This window comes from Homo sapiens, chromosome 7 (assembly GCF_000001405.40).
Source record: "Homo sapiens chromosome 7, GRCh38.p14 Primary Assembly".
Lineage (NCBI taxonomy): Eukaryota > Metazoa > Chordata > Mammalia > Primates > Hominidae > Homo > Homo sapiens.
Window position 1 is genome coordinate 68,172,916 of NC_000007.14, and position 18,422 is coordinate 68,191,337.

At 46.5% G+C, this 18,422-nt stretch overlaps 1 long non-coding RNA gene across 2 annotated transcripts in view; it reads right to left on the reverse strand.

Moving 5' to 3' along the window:
• LOC105375341 (uncharacterized) overlaps positions 1 to 18,422 on the reverse strand; it is a 170,147-nt gene that overhangs the window by 23,368 nt on the left and 128,357 nt on the right. Inside the window, exons 4-5 of one of the 2 annotated variants that reach the window (NR_187906.1) lie at positions 11,875 to 12,001; positions 6,219 to 6,687 (exon numbers count right to left, since the gene is read on the reverse strand). This is a non-coding gene — a long non-coding RNA (uncharacterized LOC105375341). Of the gene's footprint in view, positions 1 to 6,218; positions 6,688 to 11,874; positions 12,002 to 18,422 lie in introns of those variants that run through there. The other variant, NR_187905.1, reaches the window with a different exon arrangement.

The following is an 18,422-nucleotide window of genomic DNA, read 5'->3' on the forward strand; positions in this document are numbered from 1 at the left end:
GGTTAAATAAGGAGATCCTTGAGCTGGTCAAAATAAATTCCTGGAAATTCTGCAGACAGGTGAGAGAAAAACATCCAGCGCAGAGAGAGGGACAACCCCACGCAGAGACGCGGGGGCAGGTAACAACATGGTGTGTGTGTGGCTATCATAATTGACTTGTGTGAGTGGAAGGGTGAAATGTGACTAAGGAATGAGAAGCCAGGGATGGAAAGAGACAGGTTGCAGTGATGCTTCTGATATTTTCCATGAGAATGAAAAATCGGTATATTTATATTGAAATGAAAACAAAAATACTGCTGGAGCGTAAATGAGAAAATGTTTCCTGAAAAACCTGTGCTGGCTTTAGAGCACCAGGCAAACATCAGTTATTGCTGCTGCTGCCCATGTTGTCAAGTGACAGAAAGCTAGAGAATGCTATCCTTCAAAGATTGGATGTAATTTCAAACCGTTGTAGGAAATGCAAACAAACAAACTAGCAAACAGAACAAAAAAAGCATGCATAAAACATCCTTAGCCAGTGGGGAGGAGGGATGCCATCTCGATTTAAATTGAAGGTGATTTATTACTGTGAGTAATCAATAGTAGTAGGTCCACATCAATTTTATATCTAATTTAAAATTTTGAGGTCTCCATGTGCTCATTAAAGAATATAATGGATTTACATATTTTAATTACTTTTTATGGATTGTGAACATAATGTAATTAAGAGACTTTTCAGGAGGTGTGATTAATGAACAGGGTGGCCGGACATATGGCAACAGACGCCACACCGAGTGGACTTGGGTGAGAGGACTCCAGCCCCCCCAGCTGACAGCCCAGGACTGAGCGTTTATGACACTATTCACGGGGATGGGTGATTGGAGCCTCGTGATGCTGTGTAGCAGCAACATGGCAGAAACAGAAGCGATGGGGAGCAAGTGAGGCCAGCAAGAGGCCAAGTGCAAAGTCTGAATGAGTGTGCATGCCTGTGTGCCACAAAAGATCCTTGCTTTCTGCCTCTTCAGCCTCCCCCAGTCTGCCCCCCATCACCTTCCCCACTGCTGCTGCCTTAGTTTCCAAGCCCATTAACTCTTTTTTTTTTTTTTTTTTTTTTTTTTTTTAATTTTGAGACAGTCTCACTCTGTCACCCAGGCTGGAGTGCATTGGTGTGATCTCAGCTTACTGTAACCTCCGCCTCCCGGCTTCAAATGATTCTCCTGTTTCAGCCTCCTGAGTAGCTGGGACTACAGGCATGCGCCAGCGTGCCTGGCTAATTTTTGTATTTTTAGTAGAGACAGGGTTTCACCATGTTGGCCAGGCTGGTCTCAAACTTCTGACTTCAGGTGATTTGCCTGCCTCAGTCTCCCAAAGTGAACTCTTTTACTTTATTTTTAATTGCAAAAAAAAAACCCCACATAACATAAAATATACCATCTTAACCATTTCTAGTGTTAAGTATATTCACATTGTTGTGAAACAGATCTCCAGGAATTTTTCATCTTGCAGCTCTAAAATTCTACCCGTTAAGCAGCAAACTCTTTTTTTCTCCTTGCCCCAGCCCTTGGCAAGTATCATTCTACTTTCTGGCTCTATACATTTGAGTACTCTAAGTACCTCGTCTAGGTGGAATCATACAGTCTTTGTCTTTTTGTGATGAGCTTATTTCATGTAGTATAATGTCCAAGAGGTTCACCTATGTTGTGGCATGTGACAAAATTCCCTTCCCTGACTTTTTTTTTTTTTTAACGTCGGGGTCTCACAGTTTTGCCCAGGCTGGGGTACAGTGTCAGGATCATACCTCACTGCAGCCTGGAACTCCTGGGCTTAAGCAATCCTGCAGCCTCAGCCTCCCAAGCAGCTGGGACCACAGGTGCATGCCACCATGACCAGCTACTCATTTTTTTTTCCGTGAGACAGAGTCTTGCTCTGCACCCAGACTGGAGTGCAGAGGCACATGGCTCACTGCTGCCTCATCCTCCCAAGCTCAAGCAATCCTCCCATCTCAGCCTTTTGAGTAGTTGGGACTACAGGCGTGCATCACCACACCTAATTAATTTAAAAATACACATATTTGTAGAGACTGGTCTAGAACTCCTGGACTCAAGCAATTCTCCTGTCTTGACCTCCCAAAGTACTGGGATTACAGGCATGAGGCACCATGCCCAGAAGATTCCCTTCCCTCTTAATGACGAATAATATTTTGATGCATGGGCCAGGCACCGTGGCTCACGCTTGTAATCCCAGCACTTTGGGAGGCTAAGGCAGGTGGATCATGAGGTAAGGAGTTCGAGACCATCCTGGCCCACACTAAAAAATGCAAAAATTTCTAAAAATACAAAAATTAGCTGGGTGTGGTGGTGCAGGCCTGTAATCCCAGCTACTTGGGAGGCTGAGGCAGGAGAATCTCTTGAACATGGAAGGCGGAGGTTGCAGTGAGTCGATATCGCGCCACTGCACTCCAGCCTGGGAGACAGAGTGAGACGTCATCTCAAAAAAAATTTTTTTTGATGCATGTATATACTGCCTTTCTTCTGTTCATCCCATGATGGACTTGACAATTTCATTAGCTCTTTCTGCTGTAGTGATGCCTCTCAGCTGGCCTTTCCAGCTCCAATCTCAGGAATCCTCAGGCTCACCTCTTGATAACCCACAGGTGGGGTCTTCCTAAGATGATAGGTCACTGTCCTGCTTAAAGCCTGTTGATCTTTGGACATTTGTGATCCCATAGTCAGGTTTACGGCACTCTCATGGCCTGGCTATAGGTTGGTGCAAAAATGATTGTAGTTTCACCTTTAAAGTAATGGTAAGGCCGGGTGTGGTGGCTCATGCCTGTAATACCAGCACTTCGGGAGGCCGAAGTGGGCGGATCACCTGAGGTCAGGAGTTTGAGACCAGCCTGGCCAGCATGGTGAAACCCCGTTTCTACTAAAACTACAAAAATTAGCCGGGCATGGTGGCACGTGCCTGTAATCCCAGCTACTTGGGAGGCTGAGGCAGGAGAATTGTTTGAACCTGGGAGGCGGAGGTTGCAGTGAGTTGAGATCGCACCAACACACTCCAGCCTGGGTGACAGAGGGAGACTGTTTCCCCCACCCCGAACCCCCTGAAAAATTAGTGGCAAAAATCGAAATTACCTTTGCACCGATCAAATACTTCATGGTGCAATTCTGCCTCTGCTTCAGTCATGCGGTACATCTATTCCAGGCTCTGCCACCTGCATCCAACATTCACCATTTCCAAATACACTTGCACCTTCAAGTCTGTGCACACCTGGTTTCTGTGCCTGGAAAGTCTGAGTTCACTGTGTGTTGGCCTTTCTGGATCTACCTTTCTCTAGGCGATCTTTATTTTTTTTGTGGGGGGATGGAGTTTGGCTCTGCCACCCAGGCTGGAGTGCAGTGGCACAGTAATAGCTCTCTGCAGCCTCAATCTTTTAGACTGAAGCGATTCTCCAGCCTCAGCCTCCAAAGCAACTGGGACTACAGATGTGCATCACCATGCCCGGCTGATTTTTTTATTATTATTTTTTGTAGAGATGGGTTTGCCTGTGTTGCTTAGGCTGGTCTTGAACTTCTAGTCTCAAGCAATCCTCTTGCTTCAGTCTCCCCAGGTGCTGAGATTACAGGCCAAAGTCTAGGCCATAATTTTATTTTATTTTACTCACTCTGTTGCCCAGGCTGCAGTGCAGTGGCACAATCTCGGCTCACTGCAACCTCCACCTCTGGGGATCAAGCGATTCTCCTGCCTCAGCCTCCCAAGTAGCTGGGATTACAGGTGCCTGCCACCACGCCCAGCTAACTCTTGTATTTTTAGTAGAGATGGGGTTTCGCCATGTTTCCCAGGCTGGTCTCGAACTCCTGACCTCAAGTGATCTGACGGCCTCGGCCTCCCAAAGTACTGGGATTACAAGGATGAGCCACTGCGCTGAGCCAGTAGTAAGCATTTTAAAGATGATTTATGGGTTTAAAACATGCTACACAGCAGCAGCAGAAAACAGACACTCAGGAAAAGTCAGTTTCCTCTCTCCTTTCCTCCAGTCTATCTTCTAATGATGAAATAGGCAATTCACAGCTCTCATGGTTTGCTTTGCTCTAATAACTTTACAACATCCTTCTTCCTACAAGATCATCGTGAAGGGGCCTCCTGGACTGATGCGCCTGAGCGAGCCCCCTCTCCTTTCTCTGGGTCCTCGTGCAGCCTCGCCCTCCCTCTCCAGGGCAATGATCTAATAATGACTGTCTTCTATATTGGCCTGCAGTCTCCTCTCCGCTTTCCCCGCCTTGGAATTGCTATTGGCCTCTAGGGGGAGCTCAAGACCTCATCATGTTGTAGGCCCATGTCCAAGGCAGGAGTCAACTCACAGATATTCAGTAAATATTTGTGGAATGAAGGGACAGATGACTGAAGGGATGGATGTCAAAAGTAAGGATAAACCTTGGCTTCCGAAGCTTTTTCTCCGTCAACATTTTATGCTTTTGGATTCTCTCCTCTTTGCTTCGTGTTTGGCTCTGGGGCACTAAGGCCATCTTCTACTTGGATGGAAACAAATAGACCTGCCATTCCCCCCACCATTTCTCTTTAGAAAGCCAGGTGCCCAGCCGGGTGCGGCGGCTCATGCCTGTAATCCCAGCACTTTGGGAGGCCCAGGCGGGCAGATCACCTGAGGGCAGGAGTTCGAGACCAGCCTGACCAATAATTTACTAAAAAGTACAAAAAATCTACTAAAAAGTACAAAAAAATTATCTTAATTAATCTACTAAAAAGTACATTTACTAAAATTAAAAAATTAAAATTAATCTACTAAAAAGTACAATAAAGTTATCTGGCCGTGGGGGCATGCACCTGTAGTCCCAGCTACTCGGGAGGCTGAGACAGGAGAATCACTTGAACCCGAGAGGCGGAGGTTGCAGTGAGCCATGATCGCGCCACTGAACTCCAGCCCGGGCAACAGAGCGAGACTCCATCTCAAGAAAACAGAGGGCCAGTTGCCCAGTAAAGTGAGGTCCAGAGGCAAAGAACAGCTCGGTGTGGGCACTTAGGCCAGCTATTCCAGGTCTTCTAGAGAAATATTTTCATGCCAGAAGTATTTTCCTTCATGTCTTTAAAAATTGTATTTTAATTTTTTTAGACAGGCTTTGTTGCCCAGGCTGGTGCAGTGGTGCAACCATAGCTCACTGCAGCCTTGAACTCCTGGGCTCAAGGGATCATTCCCATTAGCCTCCCAAATAGCTGGGACTATAGGTGTGTGCCACCACATGGGGATAATTTTTAAAATTTTTGTAGACGTTCGGGTGCAGTGGCTCATGCCTATAGTACCAGCACTTTGAGAGGCCAAGGCGGGTGGATCACTTGTGGTCAGGAGTTCAAGACCAGCCTGGCCAATATGGTGAAACCCTGTCTCTACCAAAAATACAAAAAAATTAGCTGGGTGTAGTAGTGTGTGTCTGTAATCCCAGCTACTCAGGAGGCTGAGGCAGGAGAATCGCTTGAGCCCAGGAGGCGGAGATTGAAGTGAGCTGAGATCGCACCACTGCACTCCAGCCTGGGCGACACAGCGAGACCCCATCTCTAAAAAAAAAAATTTTTTTTAAGACGTGGTCTCCCTGTGTCTCCCAGGCTGGACTTGAACTCGTGACCTCAAACTCCTGGCCTCAAGTGATCCTCCAGCCTTGACCTCCCTAAGTGCTAGGATTACAGGCTTGAGCCACCACACCCAGCTGATTCATTGGTCATTGCCTTGGCTCATCCCAGAGTGATGAGGTCTTCTGACTCCAGAATTGCAGTCCTCTGGGAAAGAGGTAACAGTGGCTACTGAGCCTTGGTTCTTTTTTTTGAGACAGAGTCTTGCTCTGTCACCCAAGCTGGAGTGCAGTGGCATGATCTCGGCTCACTGCAACCTCCACCTCCCGGGTTTAAGCGATTCTCCTGCCTCAGCCTCCTGAGTAGCTGAGATTACAGGTGGACACCACTACCTCTGGCTAATTTTTGTATTTTTAATAGAGACGAGTTTTCTCCATGTTGGTCAGGCTGGTCTCAAACTCCTGACCTCGTGATCCACCCGCCTCAGCTTCCCAAAGTGCTGGGATTACAGGCGTGAGCCATTGCGCCTAGCAAAGCCTTGGTTCTTTGTTCACATCCTGGCGACACATAAAATCTCTGACAACTTATTTGGTGACTATGCTGCTGCTTGAGAACAAAAGTTTCAAATAGCAATAAAATGTTGCTTAGCCTGGACTTTTTCTCTGTTTCATGAAAATGACTTAAGCCTTGTGTGTGCTTGGTTGAGGATTTTGGAAACTGAATCTTAGCTTACTCATGTAGATACATATTTTTTTTTCTCTCTCAAACCTGGAGACAAACAAAAGAATGGTTGCATGGAGGAAGGATTGGTTCATTGTCAGGAAAACGTCAGAGAAACTTTCTCAAAGGGAATTACGTTTTGAGAATAAAGGAAGGGGGTTCCAAGTATAACAGATTGTATGGGAGCGAGATTCTACCACGTGGGAATGCCATGTACAAAGGTAAACAGGTGGCACAAAGCACAGGACATGGTGTGTTGATGTCAGGGATGGTTGAATCTTAGGATCTAAGGAAGGAGTGGTGAGAGATAAGGCTAGAAGTTGAGAAGTTTCTTGTAATAGCAGACCCAGGATTCATTCTTCCAACAAGCAATTTTCTCAGCCTCTATTCTGTCTTCTGTCCCAAGGGCTGTGGGTGAGTAAATAAGAAGACTCGTTTTTTGTTGTTGTTGTTTTTTGCTTCAAGGAGTGTAAACTCCTCCCCACCCCCCACAAAACCCAGAGGGGCTCCGATCCCTCCAATGGTATTGGAGAGTTAATAGAGAAAATGTCCTGCAAAATGGTCACATGATCACTGCTGTGTTTTTGTTGTTGTTGTTGTTGATGTTGTTTTTTTCGTTTGTTTGTTTTCGTTTTTGGGACACAGTCTTGGTCCATGGCCGGGGCTGGAGTGCAGCAGCGTGATCTCAGCTCACTGCAACATTGTTCCCCCAGGTTCAAGTGATTCTCCTGCCTCAGCCTCCCGAGTAGCTGGGATTACAGGTGCCTGCCGCCATGCCCGGCTAATTTTTGTATTTTTAGTAGAGACGGGGTTTCACCGTGTTGGCCAGGCTGGTCTCAAGCTCCGGGCCTCAAGTGAGGCCCACCTTGGCCTCCCAAAGTGCTGGGATTACAGGCATGAGCCACCTCGCCTGGCCCAGAGCTGTGTTTTAGAAATGTTGGTGATGCTGGTGTGGAGGATGGACTGGAGGCAGGAGACCCTAGAAGTGGAGAGTCCATTGCAATGACACAATGAAGAGAATATTTGGCTGGGCATGGTGGCTCATGACTATAATCCCAGCACTTTGAGAGGCCTAGGCAGGAGGATCACTTGAGCCTAGAAGTTCAAGACAAGCCTGGGCAACATAGTGAGACTTGTCTCTATTAAAGAAAAAAATAGACTGGGTGCTGTGGCTCACACCTGCAATCCCAGCACTTTGGGAGGCCAAGGCGGGCAGATCACTTGAGGTCAGGAGTTTGAGACTAAAAATACATCTCTACTAAAAATACAAAAAATTAGCCAGGCATGGTGGTGCGCACCTGTAATCCCGGCTACTTGGGAGGCTGAGGCAGGAGAATCGCTTGAACCCAGGAGGCGGAGGTTGCAGTGAGCTGGGATCACGCCACTGCACTCCAGCCTGGGTGACAGTGCGAGCCTCCATCTCAATAATAATAATAATAATACTTGAGGCAGATTGGGAGGAACAAAACCAGGGGATAGAATTGGAAGTTGTTTCAGAGCTAGATTTCAGAAGTACGTTGGGAAGAACTTGATAATATTTTATAATCAGTTGATCACTGGAGGTTAGGGATAAAGGAATGGACAAAGTGAGAAAGGTCTCGAGTTGTAAGGAAGAGATATATGACACAATATACCAAGATAGGTGATACAGAAGGAAAAATAAGTTTTCAGGGGAAAGGAGAAAGGAGGGTTTGGAAATTTGAATTAGCTGTGCCTGACGTTCTTACAGAAATACGTCTGGTAAACAGCTGGATGTTGTCAGATGTTCAAGATCCTCTCAGCAGGATTCAAGATACAGATTTATAAGTTATAGGGGATTTCTCCAAGCAGGGTAAGGAGGAAGAGCTTGAAATGACAACATAGTAAACAGCACTCAGAAAGGAAGGAACAAGACTGAGAGCGTGTAGTAGGGAAAAATAGGAGTAGAGAAACTTGAATGAGAGAGTGGTGAGGCTGGGTATGGCGGATCTTGCCTGTAATCGCAGCACTTAGGAAGGCTGAGGTGGGAGGATCACTTGAGCCACTAAGTTTGAGACCAGCCTGGGTAGCATAGCAAGACCCCATCTCTACAAAAAATACAAAAAAGTATCTGCTGTGGTGATGTGCACTTGTGGTCCCAGCTACTCGGGAGGCTATGCCGGGAGAATCACTTGAGTCCAGGAGTTCGAGTCTGCAGTGAACTATGATTGAATCACTGCACTCCAGCCTTGGTCACACAGGAAGAACCTGCCTTAAAAGAAAAAGAAGGAAGAAAGGAAGGAAAGAAGGAAGGAAGGAAGGAAAGAAGGAAGGAAGGAAGGGGAAGGAAGGAAGGAAAAAGAAAGGAAAGGGAAGGAAGGAGAGAGGGAAGGAAGGAAGAAAGAAACGAAGAAAGGAAGGAAGGAGGGAGGGAGGGAGGGAAGAAAGGGAGGGAGGGAAACAAGGGAGGGAGGGAAGGAAGGAAGGAAGAAAGAAAGAAACAGGGAAAGGAAAGGAAAGAAAGAAGGAAGGGAGGGAGGAAGGAAGGAAGGAAGGAAGGGAAGAAAAGGAGTGGTGAAAGGTAACAAAATCCTTGGAGAGATCTAATCTACAGACAGTGAGAAAGGATATTGGTGGCTAAGGCAGGCCATGTCACTGTTGAGATAAAGACCATGGCCACAGACTGAAGGATAGATAACAGTAATTCAGAGAATGATATTAAGAAGCTAGCTAATGGTGGTAACTAACCTTTAGGCTAATGGCTTGAAAGTCAGGAAGGGTTGAGAATAGGAATTTTCAAAAAGGAAAAGTAGCTGGGTGCGGTAGCTCACACCTGTAATCCTAACACCAGAAGAGGCCAAGGCGGATGGATCGTTTGAGCCCGGGAGTTTGAGACCAGGCTGGGCAACATGATGAAACCCTGTCTCTACAAAACATGCAAAAATTAGCCGGGCATGGTGGCACACACTGTGGTCCCAGCTACTCAGGAGGCTGAGGTGGGAGGATCACTTGAGCTTGGGAGATCGAGGTTGCAGTGAGCTGAAATCGTGCCACTGCACTCCAGCCCAGGCAACAGAGTGAGACCCTGTCTCAAGAAAAAAATAAAAAAAGTGACTGGCCTTACTGTTGAAACCTTCCCAATGCCATCGGGTGGGAATTTTGACAAAATCATTATTTTTCTTGGGTAAAACTGCTCAAATGCTGGTAATAAGTGGAGAAAGCTTCTCAATATACATCTCCCATTTCTGTCTGCTTAAAGTGTCATGTCGTGTCGTGTTATGTGACATTATGTGTAATATCTGTGAGCATTGAAATACCTGGAGTGTTGAGTACTCTCTGAAAAAAATTAATTATGCAGAGAAATGGCCTTTCTCACTAAAGAAAATCAGTGTAGGTGAAAACCCTGCTTCTCCGTTTTTTTTATTTTTAGGTTACGGTGCAGTGGCGTGATCACCGCTCACTGTGGCCTTGAACCCCCGGTCTCAAGTGATCATCCTGCCTCAGCCTCCTGTGTAGCTAGGACTACAAACACATGCCATGATGCCTAACTCATTTTATTTTCTTTTTTGTAGAGATGGAGTCTTGCTATGTTGCCCAGGCTGGTCTTGAAATCCTGGGCTCAAATAATCCTCTTGCCTCTGCCTCTCCAAGTGTTGAGACTACAGGTGTAAGCCACCACATTTGGCCCAAATTTGGCTTCTTGACTTTTGTGGCCACCAAAGCCTCTGCCTCTTACTAGTCATGTGACAATGGGCTAGCTACTTATTCTCTCTGAGTCTCAGTACTCTTATTTATAAAACAGCAAGAATATCACATTATGAGGATGTTTCTGTTGACACGCATTGTGCACCATTAATTTTCTTGGAGCCTGGCAGAGTTAGGCACTCAATAAATGTTAGCTCCCTCTTCCCCATCCCCTACCTGCATTTGATTACCAAGCATTTGATTACTTTGGCCTGAGCGAACTCCCTTAACAAATGTTTCCACCTTAGATTAAAATTAATTCAAAGACAGGGACGGGCAACACATCCTGTAAGGGACTAAGAAAATGGCATTAATTTTGCAAATTAATAAATATGCAAATGGCAGCTTTGCATAGACTAGGCTATATAAGCAGGAGTTAAATTGTGCTGTAAATTATGCAGTGCCATATGGAGCAGATACCCTTGACTTCGCATGCAAGGCAGAGAAAGCAGAAGCAGCCCTTGCTGTAATGGCTTCTGAGAGTGAGTGGCATGTTCGTCCAATGGCAAGCCCGGTGCTGAGTCACGCAGCTGACTCTGGAGTGGCAGTGGGAGCCCCATGGCGAACAGGCTGCAACCCAGTTATTGCTGAGAATAGTCTGGTAAAGAACACTCTGTAGTCACCAAGAGGATGGTCACCCACCAGCTCATGTGAGACAGCCACTTGTGCACTGATCGCACCGCTTGGGGGAGGTGGTAGGACGGGAGGGCTCTCTTGGGTTTCCAGAGCCTGAGCTGGTATCGCCACCATTCCAGCTTCAAGGCAGGTGTGACTGGCCTGGGGACATGTGAGTTGCTGCTAGATTGATACATCAATCACTAAGAAACAAATAGTCTAAGAACGGTCCAGGTGTTCTGCATTTTGCTAAATAGATGCTGGAGGGCAGCAGTTTCTTGTTGTGATTATTCAGCAGTATCACCCAGGGAACTTTTTAAAAATAGATTCCTGGGCTCCTGCCTCTGGAATTCTCATGCAGCTGGTCTGGGCTGGGATCTGGGAACCTGTTTTCTTTTTTTGAGACAGGATCTCACTCTGTCGCCCAGGATGGAGTGCAGTGGTGCGATCATAGCTCACTGCAGCCTCAACGTCCAGGGCTCACGCAATCCTCCCACCTCAGCCTCCTGAGTAGCAGGAACTACAGGTACACACTACCATGACTGGCTAATTTTTGTATATTTTTCTAGAGACAAGGTCTTCTTATGTTTCCCAGGGTGGGCTTGAACTTCTGGCCTCAAGCAATCCTCCTGCCTTGGCATCCCCAGTAGCTAGGATTATAGGGTACACCATGACTGTCTAATTAAAAAAAAATTTATAGAGACAGGATCTTGCTATGTTGCCCAGGCTGGTCTTGAGCTTGTAGCCTGAAGCCATTCTCCTGCCTTGGCCTCCGGAAGTACTGGGATCCACCAGTATTTTCAATGTGGCCTCCCCCTCACACTCCTGCAATAAAAGAGGTTTAATTGGCTTATGGTTCTGCAGGTTGTACAGGAGGCATGGAGCTGGCATCTGCTCAGCTTCTGGGAAGGCCTCAGGAAACTTACAATCATGGTGGAAGGCAAAGGATAAGTAGATACTTCACGTGGCTGAAGTAGGAGCAAGAGAGAGAGGGAGGATATGTTACACACTTTTGAAACAACCAGGTCTCAGGAGAACTCTGTCATAAGAACAGCACTAAAGGGAAGGTGTTAAAGCATTCATGAAGGATCCATCCCCGTGATCCAATCACTTCCCACCAGGCCCCACCTCCAACACTGGGGATTACAATTCCACGTGAGATTTGAGTAGGGACAGAGATCCAAACCATATCACCTGGACTTATACACTTGGCATGATGGAAAACACCCATTCAGAAAACCACACAGAAAACAACGCCTGCACAACTGTGGCACTTACCACGCAAACTCAACACTGCAGTAGAAGCGTGGGCTTTACGGTTATCACGACGTGCCAATAAATCCTGCGTTCTTCATGTTCAATGCTGGAACCTTGGACATAATTCCTCAAGTCTTGGTATGTTTAACTGTAAAATGGGAATGATTAAAAAAGACATGATCTCCCAGAGCAGCTAAGAGGGTTAAAAGAGAAAACACGGCCGGGTGCGGTGGCTCATGCCTGTAATCCCAGCACTTTGGGAGGCCGAGGCAGGCGGATCAGGAAGTCAGGAGATCGAGACCATCCTGGCTAACATGGTGAAACCCTGTCTCTACTAAAATTTTGTAAAAAATACAAAAAATTATCCGGGTGTGGTGGCGGGCGCCTATAGTCCCAGCTGCTTGGGAGGCTGAGGCAGGAGAATGGCGTGAACCTGGGAGGCAGAGCTTGCAGTGAGCCAAGATTGCACCACTGCACTCCAGCCTGGGCGACAGAGCGAGACTCCAAAAAAAAAGAGGAAACACATTTTTTTTGTTTTTGTTTTTGAGACGTAGTCTCACTCTGTCACCCAGACTGGAGTGCAATGACCCAATCTCGGCTCACTGCAACCTCTGCCTCCCAGGTTTCAGCAATTCTCCTGCCTCAGCCTCCCAAGTAGCTGGGACTACAGACGCCTGCCACCACACCCGGCTAATTTTTGTATTTTTAGTAGAGGCGGGGTTTCCCCATGTTGGTCAGGCTGGTCTCGAACTCCTGACCCCAGGTGATCCACCTCCATCAGCCTCCTAAAGTGCTGGGATTACAGGCGTGAGCCACCGCACCTGGCCTAGGAAACACGTTTAAAGGCAGAAGGGATTTAAGGAAGTAATGAGGTGTTTTAAGTAATTAAGTAATTAAGACTATGTCCTGAGTCCGATCTGCCTCTCTAAAACATCCACTGAATCCGGCTGCTGTTTCTATCCTCTGAGCCAACCCTTTTCTACTTGGCAGGGCTTCATATCCTCTCTAAAGCCTGAGATCCTGCCCCTCCGCATCTCATTTCCGGGCTAAACATTTCCATGGATCCATGAGAGCTGGCTGTGTTTGCCATCCCTGGAGATATCTCATTTTACAGCTGGGCAAACCCCAGCATGCACAGTTCATGTCTTTGAAAAGTCGTGCCGTTATAGAAATGTCTGGGCAGCAGGTGGCAAAATGGTGTTGTTATCGGAGCCACATAGATAATCACGCCTTGCTACTAATCATTCTCCATCTCTTTCGCGCTTTGTAATTTACAAGGGCCTTCCACGTCCATTACCCACCCCCCCACCCTTCCAGCAACCGGTGGGAGGTGATTGAATATGGAGATGCTAGCCATGCCCTTGGACAGCACGCTGTCCTTTTCAAAGCACTTCTACTCCCATTATCTCACTGGATCTCCCTCACACCCTCAGAAGATGGAAACTGCGGGAATGATCAGAAGAAGAAACCAGGAAACAGAGCACTTGCTGGCAAAGATCCCATACAACCAATGACTACATCCAGGCCTGGACTCAGATGCAGCCTCTCCTAACACCGTGTGCTGATTCCTAGACATAAAATCCACTGCCCCTACCACTCCTTTCCTAAACAAGTGGATTTTTTTTCTTTCTTTCTTTCTTTTTTTTTTTTTTGAGACAGGGTCTCACTCTGTCACCCAGACCGGGTGCAATGGCATGATCACGGCTCACTGCAGCCTTGACCTTTCCTGGCCCAAGTGATCCTCCTGCCTCAGCCTCCTAAATAGCTGAGACTACAGGCATGCACCACCATATCAGGCAATCTTTTTTTCTTTTTCTCCTTTTTTTTTTTTTTTTGAGGCGGAGTCTCACTCTGTTGCCCAGGCTGGAGTGCGCGGTGCGATCTCAGCTCACTGCAACCTCCGCCTCCTGGCTTCAAGCGATTCTCATGCCTCAGCCTTTTGAGTAGCTGGGATTACAGGCACGTGCCACCATGCACAGCTAATTTTTTTGTATTTTTAGTAGAGATGGGGTTTTGCCATGTTGACAAGGCTGGTTTTGAACTCCTGACCTGAGGTGAACCACCCGCTTCAGCCTCCCAAAGTGCTGGGATTACAGGCATGAGCCCCTGCACCACATTCTTCAAGCTATTATAAAATATACACTTAAGTTATTATTGACTATAGTCACCCTATTGTGCTATGCAATACTAGGTCTTGTTTGTTCTTCTATTTTTTTTTTTTGTAACCATTAACTACTTTCTCTTGCCCCCAACCAAACTTATTTTTGGAAGCTTCATCCTATGATATATAAAAATGTACCATATCCTGCAATAAACACTCACACACACACACACACACACACACACACACACGTGTACGTATGTAGGTCAGTGGGTTGCAGTTGGTTTGTCACCTTAAGATCTGTAAACAAGGGCTGGCGTGGTGACTCACACCTGTAATCCCAGTACTTTGGGAGGCCGAGGCGGGTGGATCACCTGAGGTCGGGACTTCGAGACCAGCCTGACCAACATGGAGAAACCCTGTCTCTACTAAAAATACAAAATTAGCCGGGCGTGGTGGCACACGCCTGTAATCCTAGCTACTTGGGAGGCTGAGGCAGGAGAATCAACTGGTGGAGGTGGAGGTTGCAGTGAGCCCAGATAGAGCCACTGCCCTCCAGCCTCCAGCCTGGGCAACAAGAGTGAAACTCCATCTCAACCACAACATCAATAAAAGATCTGTAAACATTTAATTAGACATGCATATTAATGTTTGGCTTTGTAGTTTTCTTCTCACATTTTGGGACCATTTGGGAAACTGTCTCAGGTGCGGCTATGAGGCTCTACGGGGTTCTTTGTTTTCTGCCAAAGCATTCTGGTGAAATATTTCTCAACATGAGCCTCCGTGTGCTTTTCCATATGCTTAACGCGATAGCTCAGGATGTCTGCACAAGTGACTTCACTCCTCGGGGACTTTCCCCCTTCTTACATCTGTGTGCCTGAGGCTAGAGTCTCCCTCCTGAGCTGCTCCCATCTGCATCAGCAGATTGGGAGGCCTGTGGCACGGCTGTCTCCTGAGGTCCTCTTTCATCATCACCCTGGTGAAAGCATTCATCTCTCTCTGATGTTAGATTCTTTGTTTTGGGAATCCCAGACCTTCCACTTTCTTAATGCACTCCCTCATTTTAGCAAAACAACATCATATAGGGGAATTCTCTCTCTGTCTCTCTCTCGCTCGCTCTCTTCTGTTTTTTAGAGATGGGATCTTGCTTTGTTGTCCAGGCTAGTCTCGAACTCCTGGACTCAAGTGATCTGCCCACCTTGGTCATATAGGGAAGTCCCGAGAAAGGTGCTTGAAAGTGTGGGAAGTCTTTTCCTTTTATTTTTAGGTGTCTTTTTTTGTTCTCAATAATCTCAATAAGATGTATTTGTGTCTGTGTGTGTGTAAGGACGTATTTGTGTCCTTATACACATGGACATAAATATGTCTTCACCCTCTCCCTTCCCAACACACACATTAAGAGGTTTGTTTTATAAATGTGGAATAATAGACACTGGAGGCCTAAAAAGGTGAGGGGGTATGTTGCGGGGAGTAAGCATTGAAAAATTACTTATTACTATTACTATTTAGGTACTATTTTTTTTTTTTTTGAGACGGAGTCTCACTCTGTCCCCAGGCTGGAGTGCAGTGGCGCAATCTCGGCTCACTGCAACTTCCAGCTCCCGGGTTCAAGTGATTCTCCTGCCTCAGCCTCCCGAGTAGCTGGGATTACAGGAATACACCACCATGCCCAGCTCATTTTTGTATTTTTAGTAGAGATGGGGTTTCACCATGTTGGCCAGGATGGTCTTGATCTCCTGACCTCATGATCCACCCGTCTTGTCCTCCCAAAGTGCTGGGATTACAGGCATGAGCCACCTAGCCTGGCCTGGGCACTATTACTAACGGTACCCAAATTACTATTTTAGCAATGGCTGAACTAAAAGTCCAGACTTCATCACTATGTAATATATGCATGTAAGAAACCTACACTTCTGACCCTTAAATATATAAACATTTTTTAAAATTACTGTTTGCCCCATGAATATGTACAATTATTATTTTTCAATTTAAAAAATTAAAAATATAGGCCAGGCGAGGTGGCTTACACCTGCAATCCCAGCATTTTGGGAGGCCGAGGTGGTTGGATCACCTGAGGTCAGGAGTTCAAGACCAGCCTGACCAACGTGGTGAAACCCCATCTCTACTAAAAAATATAAAAATTAGCCGGGCATGGTGGCTCCCAACTGTAATCCCAGCTATTTGGGAGGCTGAGGCCGGAGAATCACTTGAACCCAATAGGTAGAGGTTGCAGTGAGCCGAGATAGCACCACTGCATTGCAGCCTGGATGACAAAGTGAGACTCCGTCTCCCAAAATAAAAGAAAATAAAATATAAAAAATACCCCCCCATAGAGTTTTGTTTTATAATATGACAGTTTTGATCTTGGATTCTATTTACATTTTTCTTGAAACAATCTAATTTGCCTCAAGGCAACGTAGATGACTTTGACTATTGTAAGGCGTATACATGTAAAGGTACGGGAAATAAAGCAGAAAAGTGAATGTTATTTAGTGAGTTGTGTACCCCACACCAAGATTCAGATGTTGAAGCCTTAACCTGCAATGAGATTGTATTTGGAGATAAAGTCTTCAAGGAGGTAATTACATTTACACGAGGTCATAAGGGTGGAGCTCTAATCCAATAGGCCTAGGGTCTTTATAAGAAGAAAAAAGGCCAGGCGTGGTGGCTCACACCTGTAATCCCAGCACTTTGGGAGGCTGAGACTGGCGGATCATCTGAGGTCAGGAGTTTGAGACCAGCCTGACTAACAAGGTGAAACCCCGTCTCTACTAAAAATAAAAAAATTAGCTGGGCATGGTGGCACACGCCTGTAATCCCAACTACTCGGGAGGCTGAGACATGAGAATTGCTTGAACCTGGGAGGCAAAAGTTTCAGTGAGCGGAGATTGCACCACTGTACTCCAGCCTGGGCGACAGAGCAAGAGTCCATCCCAAAAAAAAAAAAAAAGAAGAAGAAGAAGAAGAGACACCAGATACCAGGGACGTGCACAGAGAGAAAGGGCCATCTGAGAACACGGTCTGCAAGCCAAGGAAAGAGGCCTTGAGAGAAAGCACAAAAATAAGTGTTACAGAGTGATTGTGTCCCCTGCCCCAAGATTCAGATGTTGAAGGCTTAACCTGCAATGTGATTGTATTTGGAGATAAGGTTTTGTTTTTTGTTTTGTTTTGTTTTTTGAGACAATGTTTCACTCCAGTCACCCAGGCTGGAGTGCAGTGGCGCCATCTCGGCTCACTTCAATCTCTGTCTCTCAGGCTCAAACGATCCTCCTGCCTCAGCCTCCCAAGTAGCTGGGACTACAGGCACACACTACTGTGCCAGGCTAATTTTTGTGGTTTTTTGTAGAGATGGGGTTTTTCCGTGTTGGCCAGTCTGGTCCTGAACTCCTGATCTCAAGTGATCCACCGGCCTCAGCCTTCCATAGTGCTGGGATTACAGGCATGAGCCACCGGTTCCCAGCCAGCATAAAGTCTTCAAGGAGGTAATTAAGTTTACATGAGGTCATAAGGTTGGAGCTCTAATGGTATCAGGACTTAGTGTCCTTATAAGAAGAAGAAGAGGCCAGTCGCAGTGGCTCACGCCTGTAATCTCAGCACTTTGGGAGGCTGAGGGGGGCGGATCACCTGAGTTCAGGAGTTCAAGACCAGCCTGACTAACATGGAGAAACCCAATCTCTACTAAAAATATAAAATTATCCAGGTGTGGTGGCGAGTGCCTGTAATCTCAGCTACTCGGGAGGCTGACGCAGGAGAATTGCTTGAACCCGGGAGGCAGATGTCCTGGTGAGCCAAGATCGTGCCATTGCCATTGCACTCCAGCCTGGGCAACAAGAGCGAAACTCTGTGTCAAAAAGAAGAAGAAGAAGAGCTCTATGCACACAGAGCAAAGTCCATCTGAGGACAGTCTGCAAGCCGAAGACATAGCCTTGGGAAAAAGCAACCCTACTTGCACCTTGATTTCAGACTTCCAGCCTTCAGAGCTGGGAGAAACACATTTCTGTTGTTTAAACCACCCAGTCTGTGGTATTTTGTTACAGCTGTCCTAGCAGAGTAATACAATGAGTATTTTAAGGTTTGTAATCTCACTCTGTGGTAGTATGTGTTCATCAGCATCTTATCTGATGCTGAGAGAAATTCACTGAAATAGTTAAAAAAATAAACAGAAAAGTAAAGGCCTCGCGGTGGCTCACATCTGTAAACCCAGCGCTTTGGAAGTCTGAGGCGGGAGAATTGCTTGAGCCCAGCGGGAGTTTGAGACAAGCCTGGGCAACATAGTGAGACCCTGTCTCTACAAAAATATAATCAAATTAGCCATGTGTGATGGCGGGTGCCTGTAGTCCCATTTACTCAGGAGGCTGATGTGGGGGATCGCTTGAACCCAGGAGGCAGTGAGTTGTGGTGGTGTGCCATTGCACTCCAGCCTGGGCAACAGAGCAAGGCTCTGTCTCAATCAATCAATCAATCAATC